Source organism: Homo sapiens, chromosome 8, assembly GCF_000001405.40.
Source record: "Homo sapiens chromosome 8, GRCh38.p14 Primary Assembly".
NCBI lineage: Eukaryota > Metazoa > Chordata > Mammalia > Primates > Hominidae > Homo > Homo sapiens.
This window is the reverse complement of record NC_000008.11, coordinates 60,554,066-60,579,373: the sequence shown is the minus strand read 5'-3', so window position 1 is coordinate 60,579,373 and position 25,308 is coordinate 60,554,066. Positions and strand designations below refer to the sequence as shown.

At 37.7% G+C, this 25,308-nt stretch overlaps 1 protein-coding gene across 2 annotated transcripts in view; it reads right to left on the bottom strand.

Moving 5' to 3' along the window:
- RAB2A (RAB2A, member RAS oncogene family) overlaps window positions 1-25,308 on the bottom strand; it is a 106,735-nt gene that overhangs the window by 44,271 nt on the left and 37,156 nt on the right. Inside the window, exons 2-3 of one of the 2 annotated variants that reach the window (NM_002865.3) lie at window positions 20,451-20,522; window positions 7,261-7,328 (exon numbers count right to left, since the gene is read on the bottom strand). In NM_002865.3, coding sequence (NP_002856.1) covers window positions 7,261-7,328; window positions 20,451-20,522 — 140 coding nt within the window. The remainder of the gene's footprint in view (window positions 1-7,260; window positions 7,329-20,450; window positions 20,523-25,308) is intronic. The other variant, NM_001242644.1, reaches the window with a different exon arrangement.

The window sequence follows — 25,308 nt, the reverse complement described above, 5'->3', positions numbered from 1 at the left end:
CTGTTGGATTAATTTAAAAATCCACAGGATTAGCTGGGTGTGGTGGCTCACGCCTGTAATCCCAGCACTTTGGGAGGCCAAGGCGGATGGATCACCTGAGGTCAGGAGTTCCAGACCAGCCTGGCCAACATGGTGAAACCCCGTCTCTACAAAAAATACAAAAATTAGCCAGGTGTGGTGGCACGTGCCTGTAATCCCAGGTATTCTGGAGGCTGAGGCAGGAGAATCACTTGAACCCAGGAGGCGGAGGCTGCAGTGAGCTGAGATTGCGCCACTGCACTCTAGCCTGGGTGACAGAGCTGGACTCTGTCTCAAAAACAAAACAAAAACAAAACAAAACAACAAAAAAACATTCACAAAATACTCAGAGATGCAAAAAAGTAGAGCAGAACAAGTCTGCCTAAGAGATAAAAACATGCTCATTTTTAGTGATGCTTAATATTAAAGTCACGGAACATTTGTGCAAAAGAAGTCTTACACCTTCATCTTTCATGTGAGGATTGCTAAATCAAAATTGATCCTTTGCACCATAATTTTAAAGCTTATTTGTAACTGCCAGATAAAGAATCCCTTAAACTGGCTTTCCCATGCATCTGAGTCTTTTGGTGAATAGCAATATTTGTAGTAACCAGGCTGGCAACTAGTAGTAATCTTCACCTCTTCTTCCTCTTCTACTCCCACAAAATATAACTTTATACATATTAAGCTGTAGTTCAAAAATCTCTAAATATCCTGAATTAAAGTCCTAAGCTCTTGAGAATCAGACCTCTACTTGTCTCACAAGAATTTTTTCTTATTCAAAATCTTGCTCATACAAGTCCATTTTTTTCTACTGATATCTTGTCTATAGTCTGAAAATTCCTGCTTTTGTGCCTCTGCTTAACTCCTTGCCTGAAACACTATTTTCTTCTCTCTCCACCTATCCAATTTCCATTTCCTTTGAGGACCAGCTCAAGCCCCTAATTCTTTCACAAAGCTGGGAAAGCTTGTCTACCACAGCCCATAGTTATCCTTTTCTCCTCACAAATCCAAAAGCACTTTCATGTGGTCATTTGGTTTTAATACTATTGATTAGATACAATGAACACACTACTCAAATGCTTATCTTTTTTCCTCTTCAGTTATCCTTGAGGAATAGCTTAACTCAGAGTACTAGAGTATATTTATAGTAGGCACTCAAATATGTTACCTGGATTGATCCCAAAGAGCCAATAAAGTGAGAAAATTAAGATTTGTGAGAATCAGTATTACAGTAATACTTCTCTTACTTGCATTGCTAGTTATTTATCAAACAGCTCCAGCTATGTAGAAGACAGATGAGAACCAAAAGAAGGAAAGAAGGATTTCTAAACAGCCAAATAAACTGTCCCTTGCCCAAGCATTAAATCTCAGGTACTTTACTTAAAAGACTCAACTTAAAAATTTAGACCTTGGCCGGGTGTGGTGGCTCACGCCTATAATCCCAGCACTTTGGGAAGCTGAGGCGGGTGGATCACGAGGTCAGGAGATCAAGATCATCCTGGCTAACTTGGTGAAACCTCGTCTCCACTAAAAATCCAAAAAAAAAAAAAAAAAAAAAAATTAGCCGGGCGTGGTGGCGGGCACCTGTAGTCCCAGCTACTCAGGAGGTTGAGGCAGGAGAAAGTGGCGTGAACCCGGCAGGCGAAGCTTGCAGTGAGCCGAGATCACGCCACTGCACTCCAGCCTGGGCGACAGAGCGAGACTCCGTCTCAAAAAAAAAAAAAAATTTAGACCTCTATCAAGGAACTGCTATAATTGAGAGGAAATATTTTGAAATCTACATGCATGTACAAAACTTCTATTCCAGGTGACAGTAAGATCAGTAAGAATCAAAGTGATTTTTAGGCTGTCTTAGTGTACACAGCAAGGGTGGTGAAAAAGTCAACCTGCACTAGTTAGTTGTGGGATCCTGAGAAAAGTAACAATGGGTGGAAATACCTAGAAAAAACAGCACAAGTTGAATGCTTTAAAAAATTTGAGGATATTTACTTTGGAAAAAAGGCTTAGCTGGGCGCAGTGGCTCACGCTGTAATCCCAGCACTTTGGGAGGCCAAGGTGGGCAGATTGCTTGAGCCCAGGAGTTTCTGACCAGCCTTGGGAACATGGCAAAATCCCATCTCTACAAAATTAAAAAAAAAAATTAGCTGGGAGTGGTGGCGAGTGCCTGTAGTCCCAGGTACTGGGGAAGCTGAGGTGAGAGGATCACTTGAGCCTGGGAGGTGGAGGCTGTGGTGAGCTGTGATCACACCACTGCACTCCAGCCTGGGCAACAGGGCAAGATCCTGCCTCAAAAAACAAGAAAAAAAAAAAGATAAAATAGGATATGATCACCGATGTCAGATTCTTTTAGTGCTGCCACGTAAGAAAAACTGGAGACCACAGGTGGGAGGTAATCACTAAAGTACAATGAAATGTCTAAGACAGTTTCCTGTCCCTGTAGTTGTTCAAAAAAATGTTGATGAATTGCTGCCTAAGGAGGAAGAACAGTTGGAGCTCTAAGCCCCTCAACTCCCAGCTTAAGGGATGGTGGGGGAGAGGGAGGAAGTGACAGTAATGGGAGCAGAGAGGAAAGGCAGAAGTGGGGAGGCAGTATTGTTTTCAGCCCTCAGGGTTCCAGGTCCTCTCCCTGGCTCACTGCATCTGGTCATCCATCCTTACTGATGCATTGAAACAAAATAATATTCAATTTTTAGAAATAATACGTCAAGAGTATAAAGTAACATGTTTTTCAAAGGAGAAAAAAAATGCCTGTGATTTGCTGAGAAGAAACTTTTAGCATGTTAGTTTTCACACAATTTGGTCAAAAGTTTCACTGACTTACTTGATATAAGACATGTAAAATAGGAATATTTCTAGGGAAGCTGAGTGGATAAATGAACTTAACTAAAACATCCATATTACAATTTTTTTTGGAGGGGCTGGGAAATCAAATGTATTTGGATATGCTGGAAGGCAACTGAAAGAGGAATAGAAGGCAAGAGAAAAAGTAAGAGAAAAAGAACAAGAGCAGAACAAGGCAGTAATGGCTGGCCAGGGTCTAACAGTGAGAACATACCTCTGCCTTTTTTCTGCCAATGAACAGAAACCAGGGGCAACGTATGTTTCTTCTTTGACTTCCCCTGGCAGAAAAGAATATTTACAGTTTGGCTTTGGCTTTTAATAAATGAAAGAAAAGTAACTCAGTAAAGGGCCAAGTGTCAGTGCTTAAAGGGAGGCACTGATAGACTCTTATCACTGTTTCCAGCTGTGAAACTGATTGATGGCCTTCATGCCTCCAAGGAGTATCTGCTAGCAGCTATTCTCACTACTGGCAAAAGAAAGCAAAGGTGGTGGATGTGAAAATCTTGCAAGGAAAACTCCTTAAATTTTTTGAAGATAAAAATGACAAACATCCTGTAGGCCAGGTGCAGTGGCTCACACCTATAATCCCAGCACTTTGGGAGGCTGAGGCGTGGATCACCTGAGGTCGGGAGTTCGGGACCAGCCTGACCAACATGGAGAAACCCCGTCTCTACTAAAAATACAAAATTAGCCGGGCGTGGTGGTGCATGCCTGTAATTCCAGCTACTTGGGAGGCTGAGGCAAGAGAATCGCTTGAACCCGGGAGGCGGAGGTTGCGGTGAGCTGAGATTGCACCATTGCACTACAGCCTGGGCAGCAAGAGTGAAACACCGTCTCAAAAAAAAAAAAAAAAAAAAAGACAAATATCCTAAGATACTAAGAAAACTCTTCATTTCTATAAGGCTGATAAAACAAATAATAACATTTGGCTAATTTTCCCTTGAAGGACTCTAGGATGGTTTTGTAAACATCTTGGGTCATGAATAGACATAACCCTTGCTACCAAAAATGCAACCGGCTATCCAAATGTACAGACACACTGTAAAACATTAATGCTATGGAAAATCCCGTTTCACTCAGATATAAACTAAGTGTGAGACCAATCTTAATGTGTATTAGGTTACATTTATTAAAAAGTTTTGGAAGTTGGGTATGAAAGTAAGAAGAAAGTCAATGAAAATAAGAGAAAAGCCTGACCAGCCTGGGAAACATAACAAGACTCCATCTCTACAAAAAATTTTGAAAATTAGCTGCATGTGGTGGCATGCATGTGTAGTCCCAGCTACTCAAGAGGCTGACGTGGGAGGATTGCTTGAGGCCAGGCGTTTGAGGCTGCAGTGAGCTGTGATCATGCCACTACACTCAAGCCTGGGCGACAGAGTAAGACGCTGTCTCAAAACCAAAAAAAAAAAAAAAAACCCCCAAAAAAACAAAAACAAAAGAGGAAAACCTGTAAGACAAAGACTCAAGAAACAACCTCCAAAAGAAATAAGTTAAACTATTTTAAACAGTCCTTTAAATCTGGAACAGGCCATTGGGTCTGGGAGCTCTCCATGTAGAAGCTGGAAGTGGTCGAATTCTTTCTGGGATGTTATGATGTCTTTAAACGGACCACCATCTCTCTCAGAAATAGAGGAAAGAAAACGAGCCCTCTACCCTCCTAGAGGAACACAAACAAGGGTTTTTCTTCTCTTCCTTTCTCATACTGTCCAGCATAAGAAATTATTTTAGATTTCTTTTGCAAGTTTATTGTTGTGCAAAGAAATCAACTCAAGCAAAAACAAAAACAAGAAAACCCACAAAAAACCAGGCTTCTATCAAAATGATGTATGACGAGTTAATCTACAAAACAGACAACTAGGAAATGAATGGCTTACTCAAGTTTCAAAAAACAAAGATTATTTAAGGGACTACTTTAAGAATAGAAGAACAAGTGAATAAACTAAAATAACCTACAGACAATGAAGTGGTTTATGCCTAAAATATCACATAATTATCATTACTATATTAACCTTTCCTTTTCAAAACGATGTACTTTAGTAGATATCTCCTGAACACATCCAGTGACCCTACAAGTTGCTTAGACAGAATGAGATTCTCTATTCATTCATTCAGTAAAATTTACCAAACACTGTATTATCAGTCACCAAGCTAAGAATGCAGGATACAAAGCTGCATAAGATATAGGTGGATCCTTCCCTCATAATGCTTATTCTGAGAAGGGTAGATAATGTAAACAAAAAGCTATGACAGTGGGATCAGAACTACAGGAGACATATGCACAAAATATTACAGGAAGAATAAGTTATTCCGATGGGGGTCAAAAAGGCTTCACCAAAGAGCTGACATCTTAGTTGCCTTAAATGGAAAAGAAAACAAAAAACGGCACTTCAAGCAATACAAGTATTTATGCAAAAGTATAAGGAATGAAAAATATGTTTATTGAAGAATAACAGTAGTCTGGTTCACACTACACAATGCAAAGATGTGTGTTACACAAGGTTATAAGCTAAAAAGAGTAACTTAGTTTACGTAAATCAGTTCTGAATAAGAGACAGTAACTCAGCCGGGTGTGGTGGTGCACGCCTGTAGTCCTAGCTATTCAGGAGACTGAAGTGGGAGGACTGCTTGAGCCCAGGAGCTCGAGGCTGCAGCGAGCTATGATTGTGCCACTGCACTACAGCCTGGGTGACAGAGTGAGACCCTGTCTCCAAAACAAGAAGAGAGAACCTCTTTTAATACAGAAGTAGAAAATGTTTCTTTTTGGTTGGAGATTATTAATTTTAAATCTCTAGGAAAAAAGGGACTTTGTGTATTTTATTTTCCTCTTTTCCATGCAGTTTTGAGATGCTGCCTGAGAGAATGTAAATCAAATGTTTTGAGATGCTTTAGGCTCATGTGGGAAATCCTTGAGAAATAGTAAAAGTATGACTCTTCACTGAGGAAGAAGAGGCAAAAAAACACAAGAACCCAGAGTCGAGTGGACAATTCAAGGACAAGGCAAGACAGAGATGTACGGTTATCATTTAAGGGAAAACTGTGACACATAGGAAGTATCAGGAAACCCAGGTCCCACAGCAGCCTTCAGCAACTTGCTTGGTCTAGGGAATCCAGTCTGTGAGACCGGATGTTCTCTAAGGTTCCTTCTTTCAATGGCTACTACACATGACAAGTGAGAAACTAAGACTGAGTGACTGGAGAAAAATAGGCCACGGGTATATGATGATTAAATCCCATCTTTTCTATCTCATTTGCTGGTTTAGAGAATATGTTCTTTGACACAACAGGAGACCTTTCAGGTTTTCTCAACTGGGGTTCTGTGAAGAATTATCTCCTAATGCCCTAAAGCAGTGGTTCTCAAAGTGTGATCCCAGAATCCTGGGAATTCCTCAGACTTTAAGGGTCCATGTGGTCCTCCATTTCCCAACTATTTGTGTGAGGCTGGATTTTCTTAATATACTTCAATTAAACAACATACGTAAGGCTCAGTGCAGAAGCAGGTATGAGAATCCAGTGTCTTCTATTAAGCAGACAGATATCACTAGTCTCACTAGAAAAATGTAGTTGTTTGTTTTGGAAAAATACAGTGTCCATTACAATTATATTATCTACCCTAACAAGTAATTTATTAATTTAAAATGAATTAATGATTGAATATTTGGTAAGTTTCTCATTTTTAATTTCTAATATGGTAAATATTAATACCTTTAAGCCATATAAGCTAAAGCTCTTTGGGGGTCTTCATTAATTTTTAAATGTATAAAGTAGTTCTGAAACAAAATGGTTTGAAAATTGCTACCTTAAGGCACCCAATGTATATAATACAGTAACTTCACTTTTATGCATCTAAGATGGGAGAATAGAGAAAACAGTCACTCAAATCATTTTCTGTATATTGTGGTTCAGATGAGGAATCACCATTAAAAACAATATTGTATGACATGTAATAGGTACTCAATGAACAAGGGTATGACAGAATTAGGATACTGAATTAAGAGCAACGTGACTTCAAGTTGTTAGGACTAAAACATTTAAAATAATAAGCCTGAAGAATAAGTTATTGTATAATATTGATATTCTTATTTTACTTCCTATGTGTACTTGAGACATGCTGATTGTTTTTCTTAAAAATACAGTTTCTAGAGCATTTCAATTTAGACCACATAACGTGAACATTCACTCAGATATGCTCACTAACACCAACACCCAGGGCCCATCTATTGAAAACAGTGCATAAGAAAAACCAGTCTACTCCAGCACCACATTTCATCTCATGGCTGCAGGAAGTCAGTGTCTAACAAACCATAACAGGCATATAATAACATTAAAACAAATATACGATGTACTTTCATAAAGTAACTTTACTGAGATCATACAGTGCACTTTTCCTATACTTACCGTATCCCATATCTGAAGTTTTATCTGTTTCCCATCAATAGTTATCATTCGAGCACCGAACTCTACACCTAAATAGAGTAGGAAATGATTTGTTACAAAATTAGTGGGAATATATCTCACTTTCAAGGATTAAAAACAGAATGTTTACTTCCAAGACATGCTATGCTAGGTAATATACAGATCAACTTTAACAAATGCAGTTCCTATACTTAGAAAATACATAAGCTAAGGAAGAGGTGCTAATAAGACATAAGCTAAGGACATAATTAAAATACTAAGATACTGAAATGTGGCAGAGTCAATATTAGAAACCAACTGTGGTCTTCATGTTTTGCAGGCTCAGTAACATAAAAATTAAAAAAAGAGATCCAAGAGCCATAATTATTAAACACAAATGTTAAATATTAAAATTTCTTAAAAATTACATTAATATGGTATAAAAAACACTAAAAGGGATAGATATATTTCAATATCATAGTATTGGTTCCAAGCATGAATAATTAGCAAGGAAAGAAATCTCCAAATCTGCCACTAGCTATAATCAATGTTTTAACATACTTCCCAGACAGTGCTCCATGAATACACATGCAGAAATAAGTATACAATCCTGCACAAATGGGAACATATAAATGCTGCTCTGCAATTTGCTTTTTATTTAATAATACATCACAGACATTATTCTGTATCACAAACATCCTGGCAAATCAATAAACATAAAACTATGGCATTATTTTTGATGTCTGCATAATATTCTTTTGTGTACAGATAATTTGCTAATTTGGTACTTTATTGCTACAGATTTAGGTTGTTCTCCTATTTTCACTAAATAGTGAATGCTGAAATGAACTTTCTGCATACATTTTTCAACTTACTATAATTTTAGGCAAATTATAAGAAATAGGATTACAGGACAAAGGGAACACAGACTTCACACTTACAAGTTTACTACTTTGGCTTTTAACTTGTATTTATCATCTTTGGAAAGCACTCATTCAATCATCAAAATAGGAGTAGAAAAATAGGAGATAATTTTAGAAGGGCAAACAGTTGTGAAGACAACTCTGAAAGTAGTATATCTCTTATATCAAGTCATTACTGCCTAGAGTATGTTCAATCAGTATTTAGATCAGAGTCAGGGTGAAGGGAAGACACACATGGTCCCCAGAAACCAAATGTCATCCTGTCAGAAAAACAACTTCTAGTTTCCCAGAGAAGAGCACACTGCCCAATATCAGAATTCCAGTTCAGCATCTCCCATAACTCCCCAACTGTGATTAGAAGGGTGAGAAACAAAGGTAATTTGTCCCATGACATAAAACGATGAGCTTTTACTCTACATTATAATACTTCTTCCATCCCACAGGCCTAATGAATACCAAGAAACTAAGATGATGTTTATGTTTCTTAGGCTCAGAAATACAGGAAAGCTAGAGAAAAGAGATCCAGGAGTCATGATGTATCAGACTGAAAAATGAAAAATTGAAAAATTATGCCACATAAAACCATTACAGTGTTTACATATATATGCATCTACATATGCATATAGATTCATAATGTATCTATATGAATATATATATTCATATCTGTTCTGTGCCACAGGGTGGGGACATACACAAAACCCATTAATGACATGAAAAATGAAATTAGTTGAGGGAAGAAACCAGCTGCTAAGTAAGATACAGATGTTCTTTGAAATACTCAGTACTGAAAAGGAGTATACTGAAGCACAAAATTCTACATGTCAGCGAGGTATCAGACAGAGTAGAGGCTTTTTCATGAATTTATTGTTTCTACCTACAAATGAGAAAGAGAGAGAAAAATTTTATTTTTCCTTCCATTGTCAGGGATGGGTTGGCTTTTAAGCACAATCCAAAACTATCTATATTGCTCATAACGTCAAATTTAACAAAAAACAACTACAAACTAGAAACAGACCCATCAATGCTGCTGATACCAAGGGTGAGCAGGTAAGGAAGGCAAGGCTAGCAACAGCAAGCAGATGCTCCCTCTCTGGAATTGATATCTTGAGCAGAGGGCTAAAGATACGGAAACTGACCTGTGACCATTCCATCCGAGCAGATGAGAAGCTAACACAACTGCTCCTGCTGCAGGATAGCTCTTAACAGTTTCTGCTTCCTGGGCTCCAAGATGCTTTGTTCCTGCCCAATTCCAAGACCAAGTTTCCAACTTACTGTAGGTTCCATACATAACTACAGACATTCTAGAATATTCTCTTTGCTTACCTTAGCTAGAATTGGGTTTTAGTATGTTCGTCTCTTTATTCAAATTAAGCAGATCAGCTGGGCCCAGAGGCTCAGTGTGGCCGGTAATCCCACAATTCGAGAGGCTGAGACGGGAGGATTGCTTGAGCCTAGGAATTTGAAACTAGCCTGGACAACGTAGGGAGACCCAGTCTCCATGAAAAATTAAAAAATTAGCTAGGTATGGTGGCAGGTGCCTGTGGTCCCAGCTACTTGGGAGGCTGAAGTGCGGAAGGATCACTTGAGCCTGGGAACTCCAGGCTGCAGTGAGCCATGATCGTGCCACTGCTTTCCAGCCTGGGTGACAGAGTGAGACCTTGTCTCAAAAAACAAAAATAAAAACAATTAATAAAGTAAGCAGACAGAAGTTATGAAGCTTAAAATCTTTAAACAAAGATTTTGCCTCTAAAAATACATCCAATTTTAAATAAACCTGTTAAGTAAACATCAAGAATGTTTCTAAACCAGGAATATGTCATAATACAATAGACATCTTAACTTCACTTATCAACCAGGTCAGGATGGATAATTTAAAAACAAACAAACAAACAAACAAACAGAAACAAGAAGCAAAGAGACCAGTTAAAAGGCTATTGTATTATATTTAGTCATGAGATTAAAAAATGGTGGTGGGAAAAAAATACACATCTCAAAAGGAAAAATTGACAAGTGCTGATTACTGAAAAACTATGATTTCTGTTTTCCTATCAAAGCGAAAACAAACACACTTTAATTTCAGCTTCAGAAATATAACTCTTTCCCATTTACCTTCCCATAACTGGGTCCAATTCCCCTTTAATTCTATGTGGCAAATGAAAATACTGAATCCTAGTCTCTTGGAAGCCTCAGAAACAAATATAGAAACCAAAAACTTGATTTCTTCTCTGGAATATTAACATTTTAAAATCATTTTCCTTAGATGTATACATGCTTGAGAATCCCATTTAGAAAGGTTTCCTTCTCCTTTTTTTTTATGTGATAAATTGTTATTCTCTATGCCTTTGACGCCCTCTTCCCAGATCCATTTTCAATTAACAGCCAATTTGGCTGCTAGATAAATTTCTGTGGAGTCAAAGTCAAGACCTCATTTACCTGACATTGTCGGGGAGTGATGCTTATTTTCTCAGATATGTTATTCACTTCCAACCTTCCACAATCAAATACTCTGAATAGGTACACTTTCTAATTGTCTCCAATCGTTATCATCCTTGCATCATTTACTGAGCATTCATAATCAATATCTACTTGGTTGTGTGACCCTGTGCAAGTTATTAAGCCCCTTCTTTGTCTTAGTTTTCTCATCTGTAAAATGGTATTCATAATACCTATCTCATGAGATTTTTTTTTAAGATTAAAAGGATGATTACATATAAAATAGAACAATGCCTGGCACATAGTATTTAATATGTTAGGTATAATTATTATTATTCCATATTATGCACTAGAATGTCTAAACTACCATCCGCATGACTAATGATGAGAGACCCTGTGAGAAAGAGCCATCTGTCAGAGCCAGGTAATCACTGGTACAGATATGTGCAGAGGCAGAATGTGGCTCCTTACCTAGGTAAGGCTGGGGCATGCCCATTCAGGCCTCCTTGTAATGTCAAGGCTAGAACTTCTAGGCTGCTGAGGTACTAGGTGGGGTGCTAAGCAGAGAGCACAGCTAGGTGTAGAGCAAACAGCCTTCCTTACCAGCATGGTAACATATGGACTCCTATCCCCCATTCCTGTTCCTGAAACCTAGACACTGCAGAAGTTCAAAATGGAGACTTGAGGGAAGGTGGCCTGATTTTTCCTAATTCTAGAAATAAAGGAAAACTAGATACAAAAAGTAATGTCCTCAATTTTCTATGTAAAACAAAACAGCAAACACCATACTTAATGGTAAAACACTAGAATAATTCAAATTATACTGAGAAAAATATTATAATATTTTCAATTTGGAAATTATTCTAGAGACTTTGGTCAAAAATTAGAGTAATAAAATTAAGAGAAACAGATTTTGGCTTAGGAAAAAATTGTAACTTACAGATAGGACTAAAAAGTCTACCTAGAACATGCAAAATAATTTAACAATGATGAAAAAAATTTACTTACAATAACAACAAAATCTATACAATCTCCAAACTTAAAAAAGCATAAGGCCTATATGAACAAAACCATAAAATTTTACTGAACAGCATTTAAGAAAGTCTGAATAAGTGAAAACATATATTATGTGTATAAACAGGTAATCAATGCTGTAAAAACATAAATTATCTCCAAATTAGCCCATGTATTGAATAAAACTATTTTCAAATTTAAAAGCCTCACTAAAAATCTTGCAACTTGGCAAAGTTCCATCTGGAAGAACAAATGCACAAGGATGATCAAGAAAACTTAGGAAAGAAAGAACACCAATTGGTATGAAGTACACTACAAAGTTGCAATAACTACCACAGTATGATATTGCCTCATGAAATAGAAAAAAAGATGTGAGAGGCCAAGGCAGGTGGATCACAAGGTCAGGAGATCGAGACCATCCTGGTCAACATGGTAAAACCCTGTCTCTACTAAAATTACAAAAATTAGTTGGGTCTGGTGGTACGTGCCTCTAATTCCAGCTACTCGGGAGGCTGAGGCGCAAGAATTACTTGAACCCAAGAGGTGGAGGTTGCAGTGAGAAGAGACTGCACCACTGCACTCCAGCCTGGCAACTGAATGAGACTCTGTCTCAAAAAAAAAAAAAAAGAAAAAAAGAAAGATGAACAAAACATATTTTGGCACCCTCAAACAGGCTTGCTTGCTTACATACAGGGGTCTAACATATTACAAAGGTATTAGGACAAGAATGAATGGCTTATTTAATTAATGGTGTGAGGCCACAAGCTATATAGGGATTAAAGAAAGACATAGCAGCCATAAAAAAGAATGAAATCGTGTCTTTTGCAGCAGCAGGGATGGAGCTGAAGGCCATTATCCTCAGTGAACTAACTCAAAAAATCAAATACTGCGTGTTCTTGCTTATAAAGTAGGAGCTAAACAATGGGTACAGACAGACATAAAGATGGAAATAACAGATACTGGGAACTCCAAAAAAGTGGAGTTTGGGAAGGGGGTAAGGGATGAAAAGTTACCTATTGAGAACCACGTTCACTATTTGGGTTAACGGGTATGCTAGAAGCCCAATGTCCACCAGTACACAATATACTCATGTAACAAACATGCACATGTACCCCCATATCTAAAATAAAATTTAAAAAAAGAAAATGATATACATGACCACATACCAAATAGAATGCAAATTTATAGTTACAGAAGAATATTTAGGACATTGTATGTAATTTTTGCATACAGCAAGGCTAGGAAGCCACAGTAGATTTGAGTTAAAAAACAAAAAAACAAAAAAACTAGTTATCCCTTAATAATTCAAAGTAGCAAACAAAAAAAAGACAAAGATATATAACAAGTAAAATCAAAGAGAAGATAAATAGTTCTTAAACATACGAAAAATGCTCAGCCTCACTAAAAAAGAACGAAAAAGTAAAAATTTTTTTGACTCTAATTTACAAACATTAAAAACTGAATGAGCTGCAGTAGAAGCAAGGATGAGGAGGAATGCGCACTTTGATACATCAGTGGGGAAAGTGCAAATTAGAACAGCTTTGTGTGTGTGTTTAGGAATACATTTAAAAGCTTTAGAAGGCACTAACACACACCAAACATACACCACTCAGTGGTTGCTGGAGGGCCAAAGTTATATAGGGAATTTAACTTTCTCCAGATTTTTACAACATTTTCACAATGATCATATTCTGAGAGGAAAATACTTTCACATTTTAAAAATCAGCTACAGAGGGCCAGGCATGGTGGCTCACGCCTGTAATCCCAGCACTTTGGGAGGCCGAGGCGGGTGGATCACGAGGTCAGGAGATCGAGACCATCCTGGCTAACATAGTGAAACCCCATCTCTACTGAAAGAAACACAAAAAATTATCCGGGTGTGGTGGCACGTGCCTGTAGTCTCAGCTACTCAGGAGGCTGAGGCAGGAGAATCGCTTGAACCTGGGATGTGGAGGTTGCAGTGAGCCAAGATGGCACCACTGTACTCCAACCTGGGTGACAGAGCGAGACTTGGTCTCAAAAAAAAAAAAAAAAAAAAAAAAAAAAAAAAAAAAAAAAAAAAAAAAAAAATCAGCTACAGAGACTTTTTCAGAGCTTAATGAGAAGTTCGAGAGGTCTTTTAAACTATTATTCTAACTTCTTGGCAATGTTGTTCTAGGCAACTCAAGTTACTAGAAAACTGAATCCCAAATAAATGAGGTATATTTTAAAACTGATTTCCTGTGGTGAGCCTGATGGAAGAAATGATGCTTCAATTCTATTACTTTGTCCTAAAAGTATACTTTCATTTCCACCAATCATTTACTTCTTTCTTTTTTTTTTTTTTTTTGAGGCAGGTCTTGCTCTGTTGCCCAGGCTGGAGTGCAGTGGTGCTATCATGGCTCACTGCAGCCTTAAACTCTTGAGCTCAAGCAATCCTCCCGCCTCAGTCTACCAAGTAGCTGGGGCTACAGGTGTGTGCCACCATGCCTGACTAGTTTTTAAACTTTTTGTAGAGATGGGATCTTGCTTTGTTGCCCTGGCTGGTCTCAAACATGTGGCATCAAGCGATCCTCTTGCCTCTGCCTCCCAAAGTGTTGGGATTATAGGCATGAGCCCAGCAATCATTTCTTATAGGCTGACTGGTTTAAGGAAGTGGGAGAGATAGGTAAGAAGGTGAAATCAACATATAGATGGCCTAGCCGCTAGACTAACATTGGTCAAACTGTCCATTTGTAGGTAGTGAAATAAATGTAGTGGGAATTAGTGGGCTGTGCCTTATTTGTAAACAACATAACTGAATAGTATAACATATAGGAATGCAAGCATTAAGCCCTGCAATGGCAAGTACAGCTTTATGAAGTTTTCCTCCACTAAGTAGGTAGTATATTTAGCAAATATTTTTAAAGTCCCTAGTATGTACCAGGTGCAGATACAGCAATAAACAAAACAGAGAACCATCTGCTGTCATGGACCTTACTTTTTATTGGTGGGGGAAAATCTATTTACTTATATTTACTTGTTTAAAATGTTAAGAACAGTAAATCTAGGTGGGAGGATGGGTATGAATGCGGTATGGGTATGAATATGGGTATGTACATATACACTCATCTTAAGACTTGAGAAGGAAAAATCAGAAACTATTTGGGACATGTTCAGTTTAAGATGTCTATTAGACATCTAAGAGAAGGAGATGTTGAGTAAGTAGCTAGATCTGTACATGGGGGAGGAGGGATAAGTGGAATGGGTTCATAAAATAGGTGGAAACTGTAGACAGAAAATATGAACAATTCATTCTGTGGAATTTTGCTAATATGAGAGAAAAGGATTAAAAGCTGGAAAAGAAAATAGAGACATTAAAAATAACCATCAAAAAAGGAAAAAGTAATGATGCCTGAAAGCAAAAAGAACTACTAAAGCAGTGTCCTTCAGTAGGCCCTGGCTAAGAACTTAAGTTTACCCACAGCACCAAGGGAAAGGCTTAGTTTATAGGGCACAATGCAGGTAGGTGGGTCAATGCAGTGGTGGAAACCTGTGAAAATCCTCTTCTACTTGCCTCTATTTTCTGAGTGAAACCAAAACCAAGGTTATCAGCTGAGAGTAAAGATAGCAAAGATGTCTGCTTAAAGAGCAAGAAAGTATGATATCGTTCTACAGGAAACTAAAGGGTGAATATAATGGAAATAAAAGTACAATTGTCAGGTAGTACTAAGGATTTACTTGATGTGAGTGTCCAAGAAATTAAAATGAGACTAGTTAGCATGGCTCTGTGCTTTTCTCCAGACCTGTCTAGCTGTAAATGTCAGGAATAGATGGCTAGATTTAACCTATGGTTTAGCCACGAGACTATGATACAGCATGAGAGGGACAAGAAAACTGTGGGTGCATGCAGGAATGATTATAAGGGCACAGCTATTAAAGTTGAATCTGGGTAAGGAGGAAAGTAGCAACACAAGAGAGATGAGAGTGAAAAGATACTAGAATCAATGGCATAATTCTGATGAGGTAAAAAAATTGTTAGTAATTAGGGACTAAAGAAAGTGAGCAGGAAGGATGGGATACAAAGTCAAATAGTCAAATGCATGAAACTAAATTCTGAAATGGTTCCAGATATTGGTAATGATGAGTTCTGAGAGAAACTATGGGAGGGAGTAGCTGAAGCAGGGTGGAACCAAGATCACACGGCGGGGAGAAGTAAAGCCACTGAGAGGCCAGGATGTGTGCACAAGGCAAAGCACATAAAGTGTATTTCCAGCTGGGTAATCAATATTTAAAAGCCATTACCTCCAGTGCTTTTTAACCTTCAGTGCCCATATGAATCACTTGGCGATCCTGTTAAAATGCAAATTATGATTCAGTAGGTTCTTTAACAAGCTCCCACGTGATACTGATGCTGCTGCTGGTCCAGCACAACAGCACATGAACCATCTTTTGAGGAGCAAGGCTCTAGTCTGTACCTTCTGAATTGTGTCCATGAAGCTATTTATAAACTGTTTCTATGACTCAAAGATAGTCAAAGGTTAAAGAATATTTGTATAGAGGCTTTTAAAAACTTTTACGGTCTTTTATTTTCTCTTTTCTATCATTTAATACCTTCTTAGTCATAAACCAACCTTAAATTTTTCACCCTCATTTAGTCATCCAGCAAAAGCAAGTATGCAGCAGAGTCAAGATACTGTCTTACTACTTATTTTACCAAAAATTCTAATGTTCTTTTTAAAAATATGTGATAATAATCTGCTATTTTTTTTTTATCTCTGAAAGATAAATTGCTGTGATGGGTGTCAAAAATGTTAAGTAGGCCTTGGGCCAATGAAGGCAAAAACATGCATTAACAATACTGCTTCTACTGGCCTGTATTTAGCTTGACTGAATGAATGGTGGTACTGAATACCCTTTCAATGTATATATGCAACTCTACATAAGTGGTAGTGGCAAGAAGCACCCCTTTACTCTTCCTCTTCCAGAGGAAGAGCAACTGGGTCGGCTTTCACTTTAAAAAATGGTTTTCAGTAAAAACAATGTAATTATCATTATCGACAATGAACATTAAGCACCTATCAGTATGCTCAGAACAGTTTTATGATCCTAAATATTCTGTTTGCTTCAGATAATTTTTTTAAGTATCATTACCTCAAATATCCTGAAACATCTTAAATATTGAGACTCTGCATAGTGAATGTATAGAGCACATTTACATTCACTTTATAGGATCTAAAATAAAATTTCAATTTAAAAAAATAGTTCATGTTAGCTACCATCTTTGTTCTTTAATAACAGACTGTTGCTAAAGCCATGGCTGGACTATGACCCCAACAAAAAACAATCCATTTTATGAATGTGTACTGGGTGTAGTTTCCCTTAACACACAGCAGGTAAAAAGATGGGACTTCCTACATTCATCTTCCATAAAATTTGCTTTGCCTTTTTAGGAGGACTAATCCTGATTATGAACAATGGATTTCTAATGCATGAGCTACTAAGAATCCCTATTGGTGTGGAGCATTATATTGAAACTGTGTGCCTATACAGTACTTGTTCCTTTCCTGTTAACAATATTTCTCCACAGGCGTGGGTATACAAATCTTACCTCCTTTAAATGGGAGCTATGGTTTGGGATATGGACAGTTGTTCAGAAAAGAACTGTAATAAGCAGAGATGTCAAGCAATGGCATCCTCTGAGAAGAGAAAGATTGAGGGTATGAAAAAGTACTAAGTATTCAGGGAGTAGCAAGCAGCAAAGACTTGACGGCACATAGTGTCTATACGTGTTAGGGAAAAGTAAGAGAGAAAGCAAGAGAGGCAGACTGAGAAGAATCATGAGCTCAGGAGTCAATGGTTTATAAACAGAGTAGAGAACTGATCATTACAGGGGACAAAAGATAAGGACATGATGACTAAATAGAATAGCTAGGTGTGAGGGAATTCTGGTAGTGGCTATGTATGACTACTCACCCAGATTGCTCCTACGACTACCAATTTGGAAACCATGTTGTACAAAAGTGATTCTGGGCCCATGAAAAGAGTGGACAGAACAAGAGATAAGTGAGCCTGAACCAAATTGAGCCAATGAACTCTCGTCCCTAGGAAACTTCAAATTGAGTTAAAGAGAATCTCTGCTCTCCTGAATGGTATATGAACTTTGGAGTTATTGACAATGGCCATTTCCCAACATGGAGACAGGAAAATCAAAAACAATGGTCAACAGGGAGAGAGAAAAATGAAATAGGCATGAGAAGAGAATGGGAGACAATGAGGGAAGGATGGGAGAATGAGAAACAGGATTTCCCGGGTTCCCTCCTTAAGAGCTCTGAGCTCTGGTTCCAGGCTGACCCAGCTAGCTCCCTGCCCTCACGTTGAGACACACCTAAATATTAAAATAATAAATTGTCCTTTTGTTTAAAACCATCTAGGTAAATTTTTGTCATTTACAACCAACTGTAAAAGTTAGAAAGAAAAAAAACGGTATGCCAGTCAGTGCAACCAGAAAAACAGAAACTACACTTAAGTACATAGGGCATAGGGAATTTAATGTAGGGACTTGGTTACAGTAAAGAGCAAGCCCCCAAAAACCCAAAGAAGAGATGGGGTATAAACCCAGAGATTACAAACAGCAGGAAGCTGCTACCACCCCTAGGCTGGAAAGATGACACGGAAAAAGATTATCAGAGCTCAAGAACCAGACCATTTGGGCCTGCCAGGCAGGGGCTGGAGCCAGAGGAATGGAGAACACACAGTCAACCCAAGGAGAAAAAGATCCTTGGTTTTTCTTTTCTTTCAGACTCTTATTTCCCAGTGCCTGCCATTAGCAAACATAGTGTGACGCCAGCTGGCAGTTTATATGAGTTACAGTTTTCCAAACAATTCTTGGGTCTACTCCTTTCTCTTTCCCCGCAAGTATAGCCTATGGCAGAGGTGTCTGATCTTTTGGCTTCTCTGGGCAACACTGGAAGAATAACTGTCTTGGGCCACACATAAAATACACTAACACTGACAGGTGATGAGCTAAAAAAAAAAAACAAAAAACAAAAAACAAAAAAAATCTCATAGTGTTTCAAGAAAATATATGAATTTGTGTTGGGCCTCATTCAAAACTGTCCTGGGCTGCATGCAGGTTGTGGGTTGGACACGCTGGGCTTAAGTCAACTTCTGACAGCAGGCTCAGGTCCATCCTCTCCACTCGGTGTGCCATACCAACTTAGAAATTTATACATAAGATTCTAAGAAAAGGAAGAACACTGTTGTTTAGTATCCTATACTAAATACAACTGTTTTGCCAGTTGTCTTAGAAATGAGTCATGCCTAAAGTTGGCTAGTTTCAAACCTATTAAGCAAAGAGCAAATCCTATAGAGAGGGCAGCGAAGAGAGCTCATTAAACAGGCCAGTGCGGTGGCTCACACCTGTAATCCCAGCACTTTGGGAGGCCAAGGCCGGCAGATCGCCTGAGCCCAGGAGTGCGAAACCAGCTTGGGCAACAAGGCAAAACACTGTCTCTACCAAAAACACAAAAAATTAGCCAGGCATGGTAGTGCACGCCTGTAGTCCTAGCTACCTGGGAAGCTGAGATGGGAAGATAATGAGCCAGGGATTTGGGGGCTGCAGTGAGCTGTGATTGCACCACCGCACCTCACTCTAGTCTACAAAACGAGACTCTTTCTCAAAAAACAAAACAAAATGTTAAAACAAAGTTATCAGGACCAGCATGAGTTACCTGTTTTACCCATCATTATTGTATACACTTAAAACTATCAAAAGTAAAATAGAATACGGATAGTCTTAATGACAGTAGTTGCTAACAAAAGATTTCAATATATCCACAAAGTACTATACCTGTAGCTTGGTTGAAAACTATTAATTAATAATGTGATTCATGAGCTCTATCTCTGATTTGGTATTTTAAAAACACACAGAACATAAGGATCAACATGCTATAAATAGTAAATTAATAATGTCAGCAGAAAATGAGCAGTCAGTGGCTAAAAAGATTCATTAAGCAATTCGTTGTAAAGAATGACTAGATTTCCAATTATCTCGTCTTCATATTTGACTAATTTCTAGTTGTTAATGGGCTACAGCCACAGAAGAATAATCCAGCTAGATTCTTCAGCTTTCAGAATATAATTTTTAAACAAATAAAAACCCGAAACAGTAAGATTACCTAAAGTTTTTAGCTTTTCACTCATCTTAATTTTTTCCTTTGCATATTAATACAATGGAAAATCACTATTTTAAATAATAACAGCTAATATTTGTTGACTATTTCTTACCAGTAACTATTTCATTTACTCTTTACAACTGAGGAAAATACAAAATGCCCAGTGGTATTTTTTCTCAGTTAATAATTATGAGAAAGTCTAGAGCACTTTCCACATTGCCAGGCACTTGAATGGTTTACATTTACTAACTCACTGCTCACAGTAACTTCATGTGATTGGTACTACTACTCTCATTGAACAGAAAGAGAAACTGAGACATGAAACGGGGAAATGGCTTGCACAGCAAGTTAGTAGCAGAGACTTGATTTAACTTCCAGCAAGCTGAGTCAAAGTTTCTGCTCTTACCATGCTTGGATACTGTCTCTTAAATTGTTTCATCGCTAATTACAATTGAAATCTTAAAAACTACTGTCTTTCAGCAGTAGCTTCTTTAACCACTTCTACAAAGTTAGGTAATATTTATTTTTACTACACATATTTTTAAAAAAGTGACAGAGATTAAACAGCGTAACAACAAATCCAGTTTCACTGATTTTAGCATCATCACTAGTAGAATGGACCTTCTAGCATTTTCCATTTAAACTATCCAAAACTTTTAGTGCTTCTCATCCCTTTTATAAAACTTACCAATAGTAAGGTCATGCACTGGCTGAAACCTCTTGTCTGTAAACTGTAGCAATAAGCATGATTTACCAACACCTGAAAGTTAAAAAAAAATAAATAAGAGACAAAATTCACAGAAATTAAGATGCTTTACAAAAAGGACATGGAAAAGAGGCAGCCAGGGTTTCTGGTGCACTGTGAATAATCTACCATGATTTCCTCAGTACTCTAATTTCTTGCAAAATAAGAGGACTGATGATTTAGGTGGAAGCTGTAAACCAATCTAAAGTACATTTTCACCCTTTCTTACACATTTAATATTTCAATGTGAAAGATAAATATGGCAGCTAAACTCACAGATGACAACTAACCAGGTCCTTCTGGTAGCCTCTACTACAGTACTGTTTTTGTGCACTTTTGTTTTTTGTGTTACAGTGAAAATATTTAAAGCATAGTTAATAGTTCATTTTATCATACTCCCCTATGAACAAACAAATAAGCCAGCAATAAGTGTCTGAGATCTACTTTTCTGGGAAAAGCTCCTTGCTCTGTTTTCTCGCTAATTCATTTCACAAGCAAATGGAATCTGAATTGCATTCCTTCACTCTATTAAAATTGACCCCGTTACGGTCATGAATGACTCCCACATTTCTAAATTCAAAGGAAAATTTTCTATATTCATCCTACTTGCCCTCTAAGGAAAATTGGATACTGAATACCATACCCCCTTCTTACTCATTTTCAAGTCCTCTAAGAAACATTTCCTCATCCTCACACTAGACAAAGGCTGCTTAATTGATAGCATCCTGCACTTCTAAAAATACTAAAAGCAGTCACCATTCATTCATTCATTCACTCACTTACTCAAAGTCTTTATTGAATGCTAAGTATCACTGCACTAGGACTTGAAAATACAGTAGTGTGGAAAACCAACATGGTTCCTGTGTACAGAGCTTACAGTCTAGTTCAGGTAGAGAAATTAAACAAACTGAATACTGAAATAATATACTGTATATGAATAATTTGAAATAATTATAATGACTGATTTGAAAGAAAATAGAATGCTATGAGAAAGGGTAACAAACTTGGTGCTGTGGCTCAAGCCTGTAATCCGAGCACTTTGGGAGGCCAAGGTAGGCCTTGAGCCCAGGAGTTCAAGACCAGCCTGGGCAACATAGGGAGACAGTCTTTTAAAACAAAAAAAGACAAAAAAAAAAAGATGGGTGTGGTGGTGCGCATCTGTAGTTCCAGTTACTTGAGAGACTGAGGTGGGAGGATAGTCTGAACCCAGGAGTTCAAGGCTGCTATGATCACACCACTGACCTCCAGGGTAGGTAACAGAATGAGACTCTCTCAAAAAACAAACAAATGATACTTAATTTAGACAAAAGGAATGAAGAAAATCTTTTTTTGTTTGTTTGTTTGTTTTTTTGAGATGAAGTTTTGCTCTGTCACCCAGGCTGGAGTGCAGTGGCTTGATCTCAGCTCACTGCAAACTCCGTCTCCCAGGTTCAAGCAATTCTCCTGCCTCAGCCTCCCAAGTAGTTGGCATAACAGGCGCACACCACCATGCCCGATTAATTTTTGTATCTTTAGTAGAGACAGGGTGTTGCTATGTTGGCCAGGCTGGTCTCAAACTCCTGACCTCAGGTGATCCATCCCCCTCGGCGTCCCAAAATGCTGGGATTATAGGCATGAGCTACCATGCCCGGCTGGGATGGAGAAAATCTTTCTGAAGAAATGACAGTGAAAAGAAACTGGAATTTCAAAACATGTGATCTTACAGTTTTCTTCTTTGTTCTATTACAAAAGGCCCAAAGTCAAACTCATTTTACCCAATTTTTAACTCTTTTGAACAGACTTTCAGGTGTAGGACAGAAGACAAAAGAACAGTTTTTCTAAGTTAAAAGAGTTAGTTATCAAGCATACCAAAGGAATTTGCTCTATGTCCAAAACCTAGCATGAAAGAAAAATGATCTTTTAAAAGGTGTGAAAGTTCAAAATAGGTGAGCAATTATTTAACATCCCCAATTTTTTCATATGGTATAGAAAAAATATATATAGTTAGAAATCACATGTTTTCTTGAGAGACTTCAAGAATCATCTAAGAGTTTGGTAATCATTTAAGTGATAGAAGAACCAGAAAACCCTTTCCCACTTCACAAGAGAGAATATATATCACTCTAGTAATACTAATCTCATTCTGACTAAGTGTTGGTTAAATACAGAAAATGCTTATTTCTTTGGTTCCTCATTTTCAGGATTCCATATTCTTCTTCTTCCTCTTTTTTTTTTTTTTTTTTTTTATTAAAAAGAGGTAGGGTCTCACTATGTTGCCCAGGCTGGCCAAAAACTCTTGAGCTCAAGAGATCCTACCACCTTAGCCTCTCAGGTAGCTGGGACTACAGGCATGTGCCACTACACCTAGTTTCCGTGTTCTTAAAATTTTTTTTTAAATTTTAATTGACATATAATTGTACTTATTTATAAGAGTGATATACATGTATACAATGTGTAAATCAATCAGGGTAATCAGCATATCTGTTCACCTCAAACATTTATCATTTTTTGTTATGTTGGTAACATTCAAAAATCCTCTCTTGTAGCTATTTGAAAATATACAAGAAATTATTAATCATAGTCACCCTATAGTACTATAGAACAGGAGAACTTATTCCTGCTGTAATTTTGTACCTATTACCCAACCACTCCCTATCCTCACCTTTCCCCTACCCTTCCCGGCCTCTAATACCCACAATTCTACTTTCTGCCTTTATGAGCTCAACTTTTTAAGCTACTACTTATTGTGGATACGAGAACATGCAGTATTTACTTTTCTGTACCTGACTTATTTCACTTTACATAACGTCCTGCAGTCTCACCCATGTTGCCACAAATGACAGGATTTCATCCTTTTTTATGGCTGAATAGTATTCCATTGTGTATATTTACCACATTTTCATTATCCATTCATCTACTGCTGGACACTTAGGTTGATTCTATATCTTGGCTACTGTGAATAGTGCTGCAACAAACATGGGAGTGCAGATATTAACACTACTTTGATATAATGATTTATTTTCCTTTGGATAAATACCCAGTAGTGGGACTGCTGGATCATATGGTAGTTTTGTTTTTAGTTCTTGGAGGAATCTTGATATTGTTTCTCTTAGTGACTATAATTTAAATTCCCATCAACAGTGTATAAGAATTCTCTTTTCTCTGAATCCTCACCAGCATGTTCTTTTTTGTCTTTTTGATAATAGCCATTCTAACTAAGATGAGATGTTATCTCACTGCGGTACTGGCTTGCATTTCCCTGATGATTACTGATGCTGAGCATTTTTTCATATACTTGATGGCCATTTGTGTATCTTCTTTAGAGAAATGTCCATTCAGATCCTTCCCTCATTTTTAAATCAGATTTTTTTTTTATTGTTGAGTTCCTTGTATATGAATCCCTTGTAAGATAAATAGTTTGCAAATATTTTATCCCATTCTAAAAGTTGTGTTTTCACTCTATTGATTGTTTCCTTTGCTGTGAAGGATTTTAGTTTGATATAATCCCATTTGTCTATTTTGCTTTTGTTGCCTTTTTGTTTGCTTTTTGTGCTTTTGAAGACTTATCCATAATATCTTTGCCTTGACCAATGTCCTGAAGCATTTTCCCAATATTTTCTTCTAGTAGTTTTACAGTTTTGGGTCTAGTTTTGAAAGACCAAAGTCTTTCATCCACTTTGAGCTGATTTTTCTATATGGTGAGAGACAGAGGTCTAATTTATTCCTGCACATGGCTATCCAGTTTTCCCAGCACAATTTATTGAAGACAAATATATTTGTGTCCATAAACTGTATCTATATAATGTATCTGCCTACAACCTCCTTGAAAATAATCTCTTCTGGCTTTGTCAGGCTACAATTATCTCCTTGATGTCTTAATTCTATGACAACCAACTCCTCTTCTTCCATATAACCCTGAAAATACTGGAGGTCTTCCTCAACACTCTCCACTCTGCCTTTCATTACTTTTCATTTGAGAGGACGAATCCAGTCCCGTGGCCTCAACCTATTTCTTTTTTCTTTCTTTTTTTTTTTGAGACGGAGTCTCGCTCTGTCGCCCAGGCTGGAGTGCAGTGGCGCAATCTCGGCTCACTGCAACCTCCGCCTTCCGGGTTCAAGCAATTCTCCTGCCTCAGCCTCCTGAGTAGCTGGGACTACCAGCGTATACCACCAAGCCCAGCTAATTTTTTGTATTTTAGTAGAAATGGGGTTTCACCATGTTGCCAGGCTGGTCCTCAACCTACTTCTATAAATTAGTCAGTGATTATCAAATCCACCACCTTAACTTCACTCCAATTATTTCCAACTGCCTACTAAACATTTACACTTCAATACCTTCAGCTCCAAAACTCAAACTTACGGAACCGAATTCATTCTTTTTCATTCTCTTGTTCATCATCCTCCCAATCAACCTGTGATTCACCCTACCCATGATAGAAAAGAACAAAACACAGCTTCTCCTTCAGTATTTCCTAATCTCTGGAATTGTTTCCCAATAGATCATACTTAAAAGAAACCTGGAATCATCCTTAATTACTCCACTTCTTTCATCATCCAGCTCTAATGGTTCACCAATCTCATCAATTCTCTCTGCAAGTCTTCATAAATTCCATGCTCTACCCTCCTCTGAATCATCAGTGCTCTAGTTCTGGTTCTCACTAAGAACCAGATCTTTCTGCCTTCAGCCTTTCTAACCTATTTTGTAAACCACTGTGAAAATGTTTGCTAAAATGCAGATACAATTAACTCACTCTCATGTCACACTGACTAAAATATAAAAATTCAAGCTCTTCAAAACAGTACACAAGGTTCTTTTTGAGCT